General features: G+C 54.6%; 3 annotated features.

Moving 5' to 3' along the window:
* Positions 5,887–6,754: an enhancer, noted in NCBI's record as "H3K4me1 hESC enhancer chr1:46923637-46924504 (GRCh37/hg19 assembly coordinates)". NCBI's record gives its function as "activates a minimal SCP1, AML or CMV promoter by ChIP-STARR-seq in naive and primed H9 embryonic stem cells {active_cell/tissue: H9 hESC(naive and primed)}" and the evidence as "EXISTENCE:reporter gene assay evidence [ECO:0000049][PMID:30033119]".
* Positions 14,336–15,052: an enhancer, noted in NCBI's record as "NANOG-H3K27ac-H3K4me1 hESC enhancer chr1:46932086-46932802 (GRCh37/hg19 assembly coordinates)". NCBI's record gives its function as "activates a minimal SCP1, AML or CMV promoter by ChIP-STARR-seq in naive H9 embryonic stem cells {active_cell/tissue: H9 hESC(naive)}" and the evidence as "EXISTENCE:reporter gene assay evidence [ECO:0000049][PMID:30033119]".
* Positions 15,053–15,769: an enhancer, noted in NCBI's record as "H3K27ac-H3K4me1 hESC enhancer chr1:46932803-46933519 (GRCh37/hg19 assembly coordinates)". NCBI's record gives its function as "activates a minimal SCP1, AML or CMV promoter by ChIP-STARR-seq in primed H9 embryonic stem cells {active_cell/tissue: H9 hESC(primed)}" and the evidence as "EXISTENCE:reporter gene assay evidence [ECO:0000049][PMID:30033119]".

Genomic DNA, 17,852 nt, shown 5'->3' on the forward strand with positions numbered 1-17,852 from the left:
TTGCTTCTCCAGCTCCAGGATGATGGGCATAGAAAGGCATTGTTATTCCCATTTTACAGATGAGGCAACTGAGGCCCAGAAAGGGAGGAGATCTTAACAAAGAATGGAGTCCCAGGGCAAGGGATGGTGACTGGGGTGGGGTGGGGACTCAGCAGCATGAGAGACAAGAGGAAGCAGAGTGGGGCTGGGGGTGGAGTATCGTCTGTGGGCCTGGGTGGCCATGGGTGGAGGTGAGGGGCTCAGCATTCTGGAGGATGTCTAATTATTCATGTCCTCAGCAACAGAGTCCCAGGTGGTCTGATGGTGGCTATGGAAGAGAGGATTATGGGCTTAGCACCCCAAGGAAACAGATTCTCTTCTGACTACCAGAGGATATGGAGAGGTCATTCTGGCCATTCCCCTGCCTCCCATGGTCCAGAGGGAAGAGCTGTTGGAGGGGCAGATGGCTACAAGATCTAGCTCCTTTACCTCCTGGCTCCCCATACCCCAGCACCTGTGGGACACGGAGCCTAAGCTGGGAGGAAGTTCTAGGTTCAGGCCCCATGTGGTCACTGACCTGCTATGCAACCTGGAGCATGCCTGGCCTCCTCTGGGCCTCCCGCTTTAGAAAATCTCCAGCTCAGACTCTAGCTTCCATGCTACCATATGCCACAGGGACATCCTCCCCTCAGAGCAGAGCTCCTGAGAGGGGGCCAGGGCAGGGAAAAGCCAGACACTCTGGGTGTCTCTCCACAGTGGTTCTCAGCCTTGCTCTGTGTCCTGGGCTCACCTGCTCCTCTCCCTCCCCGCCTTCCACCTGCCATCCCTGTCCTACCATCTGTCATCTGTCTGTCTGTCTGTCTGCCTTTGTCTCTGGTCTGGCTGCTTCCTCCCACTCCCCCATGTCCTCTCCTCTCCACAAGGTTGGTCTCCCTTGGAGGGAGGGGTAGGGCCGTGAGTGTGGTGAGAGCACACGCGAGCTCCCTCCCTCTCCCTTCCCGCCCCTCCTGCCCTCTCCTCCTCCCATACTCACATACACGCTCTCTCTCAGTCATTTTCAATGTCATAAATTTCCACGTCTCTCTCCTCCACTCGGCTATTACCTGCGCCTCCGTCACCGGGCCGCGCTCTCGCTCCCAGATGGGCTAGGCCATCTCCGCTCTGCAAATGACTCAGGGAGAGAGAGGCAGGGAAGGAGGGAGAGAAAGGAGCAGAGATGAAGAGAGATTGAGAGAGATTGAGAGAGAAAGCAAGCGAGCAGAAAGAGACAGAAGCAGAGAGGGAGAGAGGCAGCCCGGGGTAGGGCTCAGCCCCTCATCCTCCTCCAAATGCAGAGGTCACTGCCAACAGGGAGCCTGCCTGCCCTGGGCTGCAGGCAACAGGGTAGGATTGGGAGCTGGTGCTGAGCCTGGGGTGGAGTCAGGTCACCCAGGTCTGCCTGCACCCATTATGGGACTCTGTCCTTCCCCTCCACTCACATTTCCTGTGCACCACCCTTGTGCCAGCCCTGTGCTGGTATTTTCTCATTTCAGGAGGCCGGCCCTCTGCTCTGCAGTGCAATAGGACCCCGTGGGGACACTGCTGTGCAGTGCAATAGGACCCCTTGGGGACACTGCTGTTCAGTGCAATAGGACCCCGAGGCGACACTGCTGTGCAGTGCAATAGGACCCTGTGGGGACACTGTCAGGTGTGTTCAGAGTTCCTACAGCTGGGGGTGGGGCTGCCCTGGGAGCTGTGCCTCTTTCTCCAGAAAAGGACTCTGGGCACAAGGGACTCTCTGCTCAGACCAGGGCTTCTCACCACCAGGTTGAAGCTCCCTTCTTCTCTCCTATCTTCATAGGAACTCCTAGCTTTTGCAGGACTGGTTCTTTGGATGAGAGCAGAGCAGAGCAGAGCTGGGAAGATCCAGGTGGTCTGGGGAGAGAGCATTTCCAGGTAACCCCATGCGACAGAGAGTGGAGCTGAGGAAGGGTCACTCTCCCAGGCAGGAGTAAAGTAGCAGGACTGGGAGAAAGTGGACAGGGAACCCCAGGCCTCCGAGATGCGTCTGGGAAGCACCAGCTGGTGGTATTAGTGATGGCTGTGATATATGCACACTGCTGCTATTGCTGGGAGGGTATGAACCCTAGGCCTGGTGTGGATACCAGAACTTCCAGAAAGGTTTACCAGCTTCTGTTATCCATACCTCCAAGTGTTCCTCCACCTAACAGAGTGATCTTCCTGAGGCAGGAAGATCGGCTTGAGCCCAGGAGTTCCAGGCTGCGGTGAACTATGATTGCACCTGTGAGTAGCCACTGCACTCCAGCCTGGGTGACAGAGCAAGACCCCATCTCTAAATAAATAAATGAAAGCAAAACGATGCAAATATGATCATGACACTCTCCTGCTTAACCCCTCCGGTGGCTCTACCTCCCATGGTGAACAAAACCGAAGCCCCTGCTGGCCCCAGCCTCTCCTCCTGTTTCTCCATGGACCTCTGTCTCCTGACAAGACCAAGAATACCTCCAGTGTCTCCGCTCTTTCTGTTCCCCTTTTCCCACAGAGCTGGCTCCTCATTCCTCAGCTCAAATGTCACTGCACAGAGGAGCCGACCCTGATCAAATGCCAGGTCATTCCATGAATCTCTATCATGGTCTTCTGAACACCTGTTTTGTGGCCCTTTTTGCACACTGTCATTGTGTTTCCTCATCTGTGTACTTGCTCAGTGTCAGACTCCTCTGATGGGCTGTACCTCCATGAGGTCAGGAGCTGTGTTTGTTCTGCTCACCAGAGATGGCACCTGCCATGTTATGAGCCTTCAAGGAGTGTCTGTTGACTGAATGATGATGTTGATGTAGGTGCATCCTCTGACCTTGGTTTGGATGGGGACTGATGTTGGGATGGATGTTGAGGTTGGACTGGTGGTCTCAGGGTTGCTGTCCGTCTGGGAAATTTGATAAAATTCCAGTGTGATAGGATCTATTCCAACAGGGAAAGGCATCTTGCCCTGATGTTGGGAATTTAGCCTATGACCAGGGTCAGGCCTCATAAAAGAGAGTTTTTCTTAACTAACGGCCACACTCTGGAGTCCCTTCATCTGTGGGTAAACATACAGACACAAACTCACACACACAGACACACATGTGTGCTCACCACAGGCATCTCCATGCACAGAGTGGCCTCAGGCAAGCCACACTCACACACATACAGTCCTCAGAGATGCTGTACACACACCTAGGCACACAAAGTGACAAACCCAGTTATGTACATTCCTGCACATGCCAGACACAACCCCACAGGTGTATTTGTGAGCAGATGTACACATACATGTACACATACCTGCAAGCATGTACGTATGTGTGCAGACACAGTCAAAAACCCAACATAAACACTTAGAATGACATCAATGGAGAAGACACCTGTTCACCTGCTTGTTTGCTGGGGCGTCCACACCATGGAGTAACAGACTGGGCTTGGATCTCCCCTCTGGCAGTGGGGTGCATTACACTGAGGGGTCCATGTTCTCCAGCCTCCCCTCTACAACCACCCACCCCCACCCCTGACCCCCCTCCTCTACCCGTGCCCTCATGGTCTTGTGAGAGACTCAAGCTTCTGCAGACTCACTCTGTGGCCAGAGGCAGGGCTCGGCTGGAACTGGGGTCAGGGCTTGGTCTGTGGACAAGGCCAACGTTCACTGGGTGGCTGGGGTCAGGCTCATCTGGGACCAAGGTCAAAGGTGAGTTGGGGCTGAGGTTTTCTTGCTTTCTGTGTCTCTGCTTACAGGTGTACCCACCCCAGTGTGTGCCACCCTCAGGAGCCCCTGGCAGGACCAAGACTCAGGGTCCTCATTGTGGGCCTCTGCAGCTTGTGGAAGGTGAAGGGGGGCAGGTGGGGGGCCAGGCCTGGGCAGATAGCTGTGAGGTACGTTTCCATCTCTGCGGGTCGGGCGGGCGAAGCCATTTCCAATCTGCTCTCTATCATTTTCAATATCATTAATCCCAGACACTCTATTTTCCATGCCTGCGCAGCCAGGCCCCCGAGTGTGCGCCGTGTAAAGTGACACATATTCATCACCAGCTCGTGGCGCCGGCGCCGACGCTGATACAATATTAGTGTTGCCCCCCCTTTCGGAGCCCGCTCCGCCCGGCTCCCCGATGGCACGAATCCATCACCTGGAGCCCGTGTCACTTTCCCCAGCAGCCACATTTGTTTGGGCACTTAGGAGGTAATTGTGGCACATTAGCCGGGGCGGGGAAGGGCGCTGGGCCCCGGGGAGGAGGGGGAGGCCAAGGCGTCTTCTTCTATAGCCACAACCCATCCTGGCCTGGTCCAGCCCCTGGGTTCTGGATTCTTGCTCATTCTTGAGGGAGAGGATCTTGGGAAGGAACCCATGTGGAAGAGGTCAACTCGGGCCTCATCAGGAAGTCTCAGGTGGTTCCCCAGCTCTCCTGTAAGCCCCAACATTGGGAGTTGCTCCACAAAGGCGCTGGCTTGGAGTTGATGGATTTAAAACCTTTTCTTGCCAACCAGTCCGCATCCCAGCACTGAAACTCAGGATGTGGCAACACCAGCTCTGCTGGCCCCCTTCCAAGTTCCATATGGGAGCGAGGAGTAGAGGGAAGCAGGAGGGAAGACACCCCAGCCCTTGGGAGCCCAACTCAGGGAAAATCTGGCCCTGCCCTAGAAGCCTGGGCTGAGACAGGAGGCCCCTCCTCTGAGAGGGGGTGACATGGCCCACCCCTCAGGAATCCTATCTGCATTCAGGTGGAGGGGACATCACCCAGCCTGACTAATTGAGGTGGCCCAGGTCAGGGTGCTTTTGGGAAGGCTGCCTGGAGGTGGTGAGCTAGACACAGGGACAACCTCTGGATACACAGAGGCCCAGAGTGGCTGCAGAGTAGAGAGGAGCAGCAGCCGGGGTCATTGATCTGAGCAGAGGCCAGACTGTGCAGGGGCATGGGTTCTCCCTCCCTAGTCCGCAGGGCTAACACCCATTAACCTCGTCAGCAGACAAATTGCCCGTCTTGTCAAATTCGCATTTAAAATGCAAACTCGATTTGACAGAGTAAACGGAGCAAAGGTGGGAGTGGATAATCCAGTGGAGGCTCATTAGCGAGGCCCAATGAGAGGGCTCTGCTGGGATGGCCTAACGGACCTGTCATGATGAACCTCTCAGCCTCTTAGCATCCCACCACCCGCTCAATACCCTGACTCATCTGCCCTACTGCCCAACCCCTCACGGAGTCTGGGGACCCCAGCTGCCTACCACCACCTCTGGGAAGGGGCATCTGAGGGCTTTGGAAGCAGACAGAGCTGGGAACCAGGCCCTGCTTCTCTGCCTGTCCACTCAGTGGCCTTGGGTAGTGACAACAGCAACCATTCCCCCAGAGATCTCACTGGATCACAGTGTTTCTATTCTCCTACAAGGCCCACGCTGTAGGGGTCCTGTGAGTTGGCATGATTAACTCACGAATGAGAAACTTGGGGCTCAGGGAGGTTGCCTGGCTAGAAAGAGGCAGGTGGAGTGCGGAATTGAACCCCAATCCATCAGACTCCAACAGTCACACTTGTAACCACTGTACTACTCTGCCTTCCTAGATTGTAAATGATTGTCTTCCTTTCTGCCTCCCTGGTTTCAGTGCTGTCACCAGCTGTGTGGGTCTAGAAAAAGTGACTTCCCTTTGAACTTTGTTTATTTCATCTGTAAAAAATGGGTGAACAACAGTTGCCCAGGGCAAGGGTTAGGGTAAGGAGAATTTTAGTAAGTATTTGGCTTAATGAATACTCATAACCACCCCTGCAATATCTGCAGACAACTTAGCCTGGGGGGTGGGGGTAGGAAGGGATGGGGCTGAAGGGGAGAGAAAGATGCCAGATTTTCCCAGGAAGCAGCTCATGAACAGACCACAGGCCCTTCCTGGTGCTTGGGACCTGGACACCTCTAGACTGGCACCTTCCCCTGCCTTCCCAGCTCCATGCCTGGACACCTCTAATAGGAAAGAAGCTCATGGCCACTCTCAGGGCCTGGAGTGGGGCTGATGGGTCTCCCAACTCTGGGAAGGGGTGTCTTGGGCAGGTGAGGGTCCCGCTCCCAGGCCACTCCTTCCCATCCCGTACTGCAGCCAGGCTCTTGCTGCCTGTTCTTAGTAGTTGGAATAATAGATGATTATGAGGCTCTGGAGGGCAGCTGCTGAGAGGTAATGGGCTGTTGCCCTACCTTACCTTTCCCTAGGTGCCCCCAGCTCTGCTCCCTCACAGGTGCACGTTGATGCCCCCATCCCCCAGGCTCAGGCTGCACCTGTCCCTGCTGCCACACAGGGTGTTGTGCTGCTTGGCTGCCTGGGAGCTGGTGCTGGGTGTTCTCTCGGGGTCCCATTGCCGTTGCTGACATCACAGCAAGAGCCTCACCCCAGCCTCTGCCTGCCTCAGAGGACGGCTTGCCAGACAACCAGAGGGAGCTGGAGAGTGCCACCCACTCCTTTGCCCTTCCTCCTTTGCAGCCCACCCCAGCCAGGCTTCACAGGCACCAGACCAACTGCTCTGAATCCCACCATGACTCCTCAGCATCCCCAGGGGAGAGCCAAATCCCTCAGCTGGCATTCAAGGCCCTACACAATCTGGCCTCAGTTTGCCTTCTGGTTTCTCTCCTGGCACACTCTCCTGAGCTCCACTCTGTCTGCCTTTGCCAAGCTGTGGGTTACCCTTGTATCCTTGCCTAGCACCCCCTCTAGATTCAGCATCGGCCTGAGAGGTGGGGAGCCTCTTCCTCTTCAGCCCCCTCTGCCCCGTCCTCACCTGGTCCTAGCAGGGAGCTGGTAGGGATCCTTCTGGGACCCTGGTCCCTGGCTGGGGGTGGGGGTGAGCCACAGAGGAGGAAAGGCTGAAGGGTGGGTGGTGCTCTCAGCCTTCCTCCAGTTGTCTGGCAAGCCATCCTCTGAAGCTGGCCTAATTCCCTTCAGAGCCCGGCTCCCATCTTCAGGGTGGGGCTTAGGGAGCTGAGAGCCCAGCGCTAATGCCTAAGAAAGTCGTGGGTGGATTAGAAATCGAGGGGGATTAGGGCCAGAGCTGGTGGCTGATGCAGGAGCGGAGCCCCTCCCTCTGAGGAAGAGGAGGCTAATCCTGCTTAGCGACTGAGGAGCTGTCATGCTGACGGGGGCTTCTTCCCATCCACTTGGGCTGCCCAGGCCCAACAGGAGCAGCATGAACACCCATCCACTCCCTCTGTCCTCCAAACTTTTTGTCTCGTGTCCCTCCAAGCCATCCTGCTCTGCCTTGTCCTCCACAGAGCCCCAGCCCTCCACATAACCTCAAAACTTCTCATGCTGCTGTGCCCACCAAAACTGCCCCATCTAGCCATGTCCACCAACATTCATTACCACCTACATCTCCATGAACCGAGCCATCGCTAGGGCCCATTCATCCCTCTGCCCAGAAAGTCTGCAGTGGATGCTGTGGTGCTGCCCAGATTGCCCTTGAGGGCCGAGACATTCCTGCAGTGCTGGGAGTGTTGGCCGCTGTGGCCTCACGGTTGAGTTCCTTCCCGGGGAAGTGTCCTCAGCTGCCTCTCCCAAGGTTATGTCCCCTTGTTGGGGGCAGTCCACAGGCGACTGGTCAATGCGGGAGTCTGGCCTCCCCACTTCAATCTGGGACATCTCTGAAAGGCCATCCCAGCAGCAGAATGGGATGTGAGACTGGCCAAGGCCACTGTTGCAAGGGCAGCCCAGTTCAACCTCTCCCTCTGGCTGTTGCGGTGTCCCTACTGCCTCACCAGGCCATTGTTCCCCAGAGCATTCCAAAGACCCCACTGCACACTCCCTTCCTGATCTCTGCAAGAAATCTCACCTTTCACTTTCTTAAGTCCCAGGTTCGAGGATGGAAGATTAGATTGATCAGGGAAGGGTCTGGATTAGGAACTTCTGACCTGGATATTGAGTGAGGACCAGCAGTCCCTTCCCTGGGGATTAATCCTCCTCAGGGCTCCTTTAGTTTTAGTGGTGTAGGTAGCAGCCCCATGGGCTGAGAAGGGAGAGAGGTGCTGCCTTGGAAAGCCAGTCTGGGATCCTGGCCTCAAGGGGGAGGCAGATTCTGTCTGGGGAGCTGATTAAGGAATGGGAGCTTCATCTGAGAGTGGAAACAAATCGTGCCTCCCTTCAACTCCCCATGAGTCTGGCTTGAGAGGAGAGGCAGAAGTCTGACTTGGGACCCTGCTCTGAGCAGGGAGGAAGGACTCTATAATGAGAGCTGAGTCTGAGGGTGCAGGCTGGCCTCTAGACCAAGAGAAGAGGCCGGTGCCAACCCAAACTGCCTGCTCTACTGGGTCCCTGGCCCCACCATCAGCTGGGTCTTCGCTTGCCAGCCTTGGCTGGCTCTTCAAGCAGGCAGCCAGTGTGATGCCTGCACTGGGGGAATGGGTCTATGTGTTAATAATGGGAGGGCATTGGAGAATAACTAGAGAGGGTGTTGGAGAATAGCTGGCTCCTTGGTGCCATCAGGGTTGAAGCTCTGTGGGGATGGAGACCTTCCTGCATGCAGGGCCTCTGAAAAATGCTGGTCCCAGGGTAACTTGAGAGCAGGGGCAGGGAAGGGGATGGATTGACCTTTGAGAGTCAGTTTGGGATGTGGGGTCAGTGGAGGGGGACCACTCCCACTCTGTTCCCTACCTTTGATGGACAAATGCTAATGACATTACCAGCGATTGACTAGAAACGAATAAATAATTCAGTCTGGCCTGAAAATGGGAGAAAAGTACTTAAATGCTATTGACAAGCCAGTCCCTGGTCTCATTACCCATGCAGACTCAGGCCTCCACATCGACCATGTCCCCCGATTCCTCCAAACCCCACTGTGGGCAGCCTCAGGCTTCCCTCCCACCAACCTGCCCCAAGTAGCGTGTGCGGAGGGTTACCTGAGGAGACCAGGTGGAGGGCTGAGGCTTGTGGCTCAGACCACAGGGACCCCACTGCCCAAAGGACAGCAGTCCCCCAAGTTCTTCCCCTTTTCCCAGATACTGGCAGCAGCGTCTCTTCACAGGCAGGGCGGTCCTGGGAAGTCCCTCTGTAGCCCCGCTCCAGGTGTACATGCACAGGGGTACAGGCGGGCACTCACAGGGACACACAGAGCCCGCCCCACAGCTGCGGCATCCTCTTCCAGGACACAAGAAGAACAGTGACCCCCAGGGCGGCTGTCAGTCACTGTGCTCTCTGGGAATACAAACTCATTAAACGTTTCCCTGCCTTGTCCCAGGGGCCCTAGTCCCCGAGTCAAGCCTGAGGAGAAGGAGGAGGAGGAGGAGGAAACAAATGTGCAGCTGATCCTTTCAAAGCACATCCTGTATTTCTGACCCTGGAGAAGAGATGAGGGGATTACTGAGGGTGAGGATTACCCCTGGAAGGCCTTCTCTGTGGGTTCCTGGGGAGCTAGCATTTCTAGCCCCTATAACACACCCACAACTCCTCCAAACAACAACTCTACAAAACAAAACCTTCCATTTTCTTTAAGAGTCTCCCTCTCTCTCTTCCTTAGCTGCCTGGGCTTGACACCCCTTCAGGGTGCCTCCTCTGGTGTTAACAATCGGAAGCCAACAACACCTGCTGGTCAGAGATAGGGGAGCCTCAGAGACCCTTTAGCCCAAGGGATGGGTCACAAACAAGGACTCAGTGGAGGGGAATTTGAGAGAGCAGGCTGTGGCCTTGGACCCGGGCACTGCATGATGCTCCAGTGGATATGAAGGGGTCTATTCCAGCCCAGCCCAGGAAATCATTCTAAAAGGGACCCTATCTCTTTGCAAACCAAATAACCTTCTCTCTGGGTGTGGGCAGAGGCCCTGGCAGCCCCCCAGTGCCTATCACTGGTAGACCTATCTCCTCCCTCCCTTTGGAGACCAGACCCTTCACCTTGCAGTCTGTAGGGTTTGGGCTGGGGTTGCCAGTCCCTGCCTCCCTCCTGGTCTCCTCCCTACTGCCTGCCAGAACTCTGCCCCAACTAGGCTTGGCCTCAGAATATACCTGGACCAGCCCCTCCCTTTCACTGTCCCTGCCCCACAGAAGTCCAAGGGCTCCTCAGCTCTCCATGCACAGCACCCCCCACCTCTGGAGTGGGCTGAAAAACTCTGCTGTCCTGCTCATCATCCAGAAGGCCCTTCTTGTTCTGCATTTCCTCCCACCGTTGTGTCCCACGGGGAGTCATTTATCTGATCGACTGGCTCTCCTCAGTGCAAACATTCACAGGAGCATTAACAAGCCTAAAACCCAATTAGCCTTCAATTACTCAGGCCTTAGTCAGATTTTCTGTGGTGGGGACAGGGTTGAGGAATGTATTTGGACACTGCCTGGGTGGTACTCCTGCCCTTTGGCCAACGCCCCCACCCATGCACTAGCACTCCTGTTGCAGCCAGCCTGCTCTCCTCTGCGCTCCCTCCTGCCCTATACCACCTTCTTTCCTTCTTATTCTTCTCTCCTGACCCCTTTCCTACACCTCTCTAAAAACAATCATTGTTTTAAAATGTACATACCCAATACATGGGTTTGCAAAAACTCATAAAAACATAATGCAAAAGAAAAGAAAATGAAAAGCTAAATCCCGCTCTACCTCCCATCCTGTAAATCCTGCTGTCAGTAATTGGGGGTTCTCATTCCTTCCCTGTGTTGGATTCTATACATTTACAACCCCCCTCAACATAGTTTTAAGTGTTCTTTAAACATCTTCAAATTGGGATCACACTATATATGAATAGTCATATAACTATTCATACCTACTCTTTTTTCTTTCTTTCTTTTCTTTTCTTTTCTTTTTTTTTTTTTTTTTGAGACAGAGTCTTGCTCCATCACCCAGGCTGGAGGTGCAGTGGTGCGATCTTGGCTCACTGCAGCCTTTGCCTCCGGAGTTCAAGCGATTCTCCTGCCTCAGCCTCCCCAGTAGCTGGAATCCTAGGCATGCCCACCATGCCTGGCTAATTTTTGTATTTTTTCGTAGAGACGGGGTTTCACCATGTTGGCCAGGCTGGTCTCAAACTCCTGACCTCAAATGATCCGCCTGCCTCGGCCTCTCAAAGTACTCGGATTACAGGCATGAGCCACCATGCCCGGTCCATACTTATTCTTTTCACCAACCAATGACATCTTATTTAGTTCGTACTTCTCTTTTCCTTCATCTACTTTCCCTCTGTACCTCTCCTGCATCTTTCTATACCTCCTCCTTCTCCTTGGACACATAGTATTCCATGGTTTGGACACCCTCTGATATATTTAATCAGCCCCTTCTTGATGGACATTTAGTTGTTTCTAATGTTTGGCAATGACAAGCATCATTGCAGGGACCAGCTCTGTACTTACATTATGTGCAGAAGTCAGAGTTTCTGTGGGACAGATTCCTAGAGTTGGAATTATTTGGCTACAGAGGATGCATATTTAAAATTTTGATAATTATTGCCAAATAATTAATCAATAATTGCCCTTTATCTCCAGAACCTCCAAGGTTGTACCAATTTGTACTCCCAAGAGTCTCCATTTCACCCTACTTTCATCAGTATTTGGTATTATCTTTTTTAAAATAATATTGGCCAGGTGCAGTTTCTCATACCTGCCATCCCAGCACTTTGGGAGGCCACAGTGGGTGGATCACTTGAACTCAGGAGTTCAAGACCAGCCTGGGCAACATGGTGAAACCCCCGTCTCTACAAAAAATACAAAAATTAGTTGGGCATGATGGCTTACGCCTGTAGTACCACCTACTTGGGAGGCTGAGGTGGGAGGCTGGGAGGATTGCTTCAGCCAAAGATTGAGGTTGCAGTGAGCCATGATTTTGTCACTGCACTCCAGCCTGGACAATGAAGTGAGATGCTATCTCAAAAAAAAAAAAAAAAAAAGATTACTATTTTTATTTTAATCTCATTTGATTTGTACTTCTTTTTCCTCATCTCCTTTCCCTCTTCACCTCTCCTTTACTTTTGTGCCTCACCACTTCCTCAATTCCCTCCCTCCTACCTTGCTCCTGTCTCTCCTTCAGCCCCCTCTTTCCTCACCTCCTTTGTCCCTTCCACACGTTCTTCCCCATATCTTCTCATTCTTTCTTTCCCCTCCTCTTCTCCCTCCTCCCTTGGGTACTGCAGTCCCCGGGGGAGGGCAGCCAGAGAAGCTATTAGCTCTGCCCCCCTAATACTCTGAGTCCCACTCGCCTCTTAACACCTCCCTGAGCCTGGGCCTCTAAGCCCCATCTCACTCTCGTCTCCCTCTAATCACTAAGGCTTATTTCTGATTTTCTGAAGTGACAAGGAGCTGGGTTTTGGGGGAGGGAGGGCTGTCAGCCAGCATCTCCCAGGATTGAGGGAGGGAAGGATGCAGGGAGGGAGGCCTGGCTGGTGGGATGGGGTGGTGGAGACTCTGGCTAGGCCCTCCTCACTCTGAACAGGGAGGCCAAGTTCTCCAGCCCCTTCTGCCTTGGCTGATAGTGCATATGCTTCCAACCTTAGGATGTTCTTTTAGGCTAGATTCTATTTTCTCTGGTTTCCTCTGTAAAAAGGAAAGCGACTTCCTCCCCTCCCTTCACTCAGGGGAGCCTCTGTGGACAGGGCCTCTAATGCCCTTCTCCCTCCCTTGCCACCACCCTGCTAGGAGAATCCTGCCCTCATCTCTCCCTGCCTCACCTCTTTGATCCTGTAAGTGGGAAAAGCCTCCAGGCTGCAAAGCCTATGTCTTCTGCTTCCCACCTTATAGAAATCCCGGTCTCCCCTCCCCTGTCCCAAATCCATCCCTCCAAAAGCTCAGTGAATTGGCATAAATTTAATTAAGGACAGCAGCAAATCTCTCGTCGTTTTAAAGACATTTAAGGTTTAAAATACATGCTGAGAGTGGAGGTCTCAAGAGAGGTGGGATGAGGGGGCCAGAACTAATTCCGGGGAGGTACAGTTGGGCCTCTGTTCTAGCCCTAGTGAGTGACCCTGGGTGCTCCCCTTGGTGTCTCTGAGCCTTGATTTCCTCATCAGCCCCCTAAAAGTTCTGCAAGGCCCAGCAGGACTACCTTGCTCTCGCCTGGAAGTGTTCTTGCTGTGCTAATTTAATTACATGGCCTAACTGGGCCCAGGCTGAGGAGACAGTTAATGGCAGCTGCAGAGACAGTGAGTAATCAAGAATTAATTAAGCGTTTCTGGGGATTCCCAAGTCTAGGCTAGGGATTCCTGGGAGCCTGGCTATGGCTGGGCAGGAGTGGGGCCCCTCTAGCTACCCCCTACCCTTTCCTGGCTCCTCAGGAGTTGGGGAAACAGCAGGCCCTAGGTGCAGGAAGGTTCTGAGTAAAGGGCTGTCCATCCACTAAGGCAACCTCAGATCAATGGGATATGGAACCACACAGTGGGGGCCGGGCACAGTGGCTCCTGCCTGTAATCCTACCACTTTGGGGGGTTGAGGCAGGAGGATTGCTTGAGCTCAGTAGTTAAGACCGGCCTGAGCAACATGTTGAGGCTTCATTTCTACAAAAAATCAAAAGCAAAAAATTACCTGGGCATGGTGGCAGCTGTCTGTACTCCCAGTTACTCAGGAGGCTGAGGTGGGAGGATTGCTTCAGCCTGGGAGGTTGAGGTTGCAGCGAGCCATGATTACACCACTACTGCACTCCAGCCTGGGTGACAGAATGAGATCCTGTCTCAAAAATAAATAAATAAATAAATAAATAAATAAAATAAACCCTCACAAGGGCCAGCAGTGGGGTGGGCTGTGTGGAACTGAACAGGTGCCTGTGCCTGTGGGTCTGGGACATTTTTGTGAAGGGCTTAGCCTGTGTCGAGGCTGGGATCAGTCCACGCTGGGTGAGTGAAAAAAAAATGTGGCATTTCAGCCTCTGGGCTTTGGAGTCAGGCAGCCCTGAGTTTCAGTCTCTGCATTACTATTTGCTAATAGTGTGCCCTTGGCTGAGGGCTCCCCCCAAAATGCTTTACCCTCTGCCCCAATGCTTGTCCTCTAGACATTCCCAGAGCAGGTTCCTTCATGCCATGCAGATTTCAGCCAAAACGCACCTCCTTAAGAAGCCATCTTTGACCACTCAGTCTCATTTACCTCCCCTTCCCCTACAGTCACTGCCACATCACCTTGCTTTATTTTCCGTTCATTTATTTCTTGTTTCCTGTGTGTCGCCTGCCTCCTTCACTAGAGTCAAATTCCACGGAGGCAGAGACGGGGTCGGTGTGGCTCACAGGGGTATCTGCCGAACCCCAAACAGCGCTGGACACACAGAAGGCGCTGGGAGAAGGAAGAGGCCTCTCTGAACCTGTTCCCTCACCTGGAAAGTGGGGCTAATCACATAACCCTGCAGTCTCTGAGGTGGTTGTGAGGGGGATTCAGAGAGGGGACCCGGGGAGCTCTGAGCGCAGTGCCAGGCCCGGACGTGGTCACCGCCTTGTCACTTGCGCATTTCATGCTCTGGCCTCCCAGGCCGGGCGATGCGGCCGCGGGGCTGCAGCTCCCGGCGAGGCCCGCCAGGCCCCCGCCCCGCCCCGCCCTCCTCGGGCCCCGCTCCTTCCCAGGCGCCCCCGCGCCGCCGGCGCTTTGAAGTCCCAATCCGGCAAATAGAGTCAATCAATTATGAAGGGAACAATCTGGCGGCCCCTCGGGGAGCGGCGGCCGAGCGATCCCGGGGGATTAGGCCGCAAATCGCGCTGAGCCTCCCTAAGTGACAGCGAGAGAATCGCGCGCGGCGGCGACGGCGGCGGCGGGAGCGGGAGGGAGCGCGGCCGCTAACCCGATTATGCAGATCCGCGGGGGGCGCGGATTAGGCCTCGGGGGCGGCTTCGCCCTAAGCGGCTCTCGGATTTGGGAAAAGTTTACTCGGGCGGAGGGGGCGGAGACTCCCCCGGGCGGGCGGCCGGGACTTCTCCCAGCCGGGTGAATGGAGGACCCGCCTGCAGGAGCAGCCGCGAAAGAGTGGAGCGGGCGCGCCTGCTGAGCCACAGCCACAGCAACACTTTGCAGGCGTGCACACTCACACGCACACCCAGGCCACAACAGCCGTGTCTGCACCAGCCCACGGGCGCACGCGCGCTGCCCACGATCACCCTCCCAAGCCACAAAACACTCGCGAACGTGCGAGGCCGCACCAGCCCACATAGCCAGACCCACGCCGGCTCACACGCGCACGCAGCACTGCCTCGTGCTCACACAAGCATGCACGTACTCACAGACACGCAATTTGATGTTCGGATACCTGCCTCCTGTGGTTCCAGCAGAATCCCTCAGTGACACAAGGTGTCCCTGCCAGCCTATGTAGACGTAGGACTGGTGCACGGCCCTGCACCTGTGCTCTCCCACGGACCTCCCTGCAGCTCCTCTCCTCTGAAGGACCTTGAGGACAAGTGTGTGTTAGTGTCTGTGAGTGTGTGTGTGTGTTTGAGCGTGGCCTGTCTCTGGAGTCTGGGCCCAGTTTTGGCTTCTGCAACTGGGGCCTTCTCAGGGTAGGTGGAAAAGACTGAGGCAGGACGCTGGGATGGAAACAGGCCGAGTCCTCTTGGTGACTCTGGCTAAGGGGTCCTCTCCGCAGGGCTGGGGATCCAAGACATTCCTCACCAGGCCCCTCTGGGCCAGCCCCTTCCCTGAGGTGCTATCAGGGAGGAGGCAGGGGAGAGGGAGAGTGGCTTCCTTTTACCCATCTAGGAAAACGACACAGAACCCAGTTCCAAGCCTACCCAATGCAGGATGTGGGAAAGGCTCAGTCAGACTCGTTTCATTTGTAAAACGCCCATTGTGTGTGATCAGTGTGTGTCCATGGTCCATACATGTGTTCATGCTCAGTGTGTGTCCACAGTCTTTGTGTATGTCCATGGTAATATATATGTTTTTATACAGCATGTGTTTGTGGTCAGTGGAATGTGTATCTCTAGCCTCACACCCCTTGCACAAACATCACATCACACACAATGACTGTGGACACACACTGACCACAGACAGGCACTCATCATGGACACATACAATGGCGATGGACACACTGTTCTCTCTCTGACACACACACACACACACACACACACACACACACACAACTCCCGATAGAGACCAATCCTTTGAATGGACAGATGGTGGACATTGAATTGTTGCCATAGTGGCACAGGGCATTGGGTGTGGTGGCTTACACCTATAATCCCAGCATTTTGGGAGGCTGATCAGGTGGATCACTTGAGGCTAGGAATTCGAGACCAGCCTGGGCAACATAGTGTGGCCCTGTCTCTATAAAAAAAAAAAAAAAATTAAAAATAAAAAACCCAGAGTGGCAGAGGGTAATTGCTGTGGCATGGAGGGCACTCCACCCCATGCCCTAGGCAGTGATGGAGTGACCCTGTGGCTGACTGGATCAATGAGGAAAGAGGGGTCAGGGTCAATAAGTCTTTAGCAAGCAGGGAACCGGCTGTTGCCTCCAGCCCCCATGCTGCGTGCATGTGTATGCCTGTGTGTCCATCACACCCACCACTCTTGTCACACACACAGAGGGTGTGTGTGTGTGTGTGTGTGTGTGTGTGTGAGTTATCTCCAGAATCTGGGATCCACCTCGAGGTGGCCTGGGCTGGCCCCTGGGATCCCGGTCATGGTGGGATGGGGTGCTCTATGGCAGGGTGAAGATGTGCGCTGGGTAGTTTAGTCTACTGGGGTCAGTGAGAGTGATGGGGGAGACAGGCATGTGCCCCTCCCTGTGTAGCCATAGCTAAGCCCTGGCCTTGTCTGGGCCTGGTTCTCTCACTGGCTTTTCCTCCTCTAGCCTTTCTGGTTCGGAGTCCCTGGGAGGAGAAGCCAGAAGAGTCAGACCCTTGAGAAGAAATCCCATCAAACCCTCTTCTCTGGGGCATCCCTGACCCACTGGACAGGACCCACCAGGCAGCCTCACCCCCCCATTAAGGTGTCTAGCCCCCTATGGGGCAATCGGGCCCAATTTCACGCTTAGGAAGGCTTCCTCTGGCCACCAATGGGGCAGATCTGATTAGGCGGCTGCAGAGAGTGCTTGGTCACAATTAATCAGCAGCCAGGGGTGGGCAGAGGCCCACCCACGCAGGAGCCCCATCCCAGGGGTGCACAAGTCAGGCCTATGGAGCTAGAGGGAGTGAGGATGGGAAAAAGCAGGCCCCCACACACCCAGGGAACCTCCAGGTGGGGGCTGGGCCATGGCCTCCTTCCCCAGAGCCCTGCCCTGGTCCAGATCCTGCTGCACCCCTTAGTGGATGTATATCCTTGGGCAAGATACTTAGCCTCTCTATGCCTCAGGCCTCATCTTTAAAATAAGGATGAAAACAATACCTTCCTCATAGGACCTATAAAAGAAAATGTAAAGCAGGTAGCAGAGTGGCTGGCACCTAGTAGGTGCTCAAGCTGTAGGAACTTCTATTATTGTTACTATAGTTTTTAGTTCAGAATAGGCAGACAGGCAGACTGCAGAAAGAATCTAACAGCCAATGAGCTCTTGAAACCCCCTCCCCCAAAGGAGGATGGCTGGGGAAAAGGGAGACTTTTGGGATCCACTGCAATTTTCCCCACCCCATTCAGGCTCATCACTTAGGAGAGCACAGAGGGGATGGGGAGCCAGTCTGGGGCAGCCTGCCCTGTGGGGAGGGGAGCCTGAACTCCCTCCTCTCCCTCCAGTCTCCAAGTGTGTGTGTAGGGGTGGGTGAGAAGAGGAGAGGCTGAATCTGAAGTGGCTCAGTGGCTCAGTTGTTTCAGGCCAGAAGCCATTACCTTCCCGGAGAGAGAAGCCCACAGCCCATCTGAGGCTGGGGCAGGGGCAAGCGGGGGTACAGATCGGAGTGAGACTCCGGGCCCGCCCTGGGGCCTCCTTGCCTTCCCCGTTCCCCTTGTCTGCCCAGGTGAAGAGGCAAAGTCCCTGCTCTTCTCCAGTTTGGGTCTGCTTGGCACTGGCCCAGGGGGTGGGGTGAG

Source organism: Homo sapiens, chromosome 1 (genome assembly GCF_000001405.40).
Source record: "Homo sapiens chromosome 1, GRCh38.p14 Primary Assembly".
Classification (NCBI taxonomy): Eukaryota; Metazoa; Chordata; class Mammalia; order Primates; family Hominidae; genus Homo; species Homo sapiens.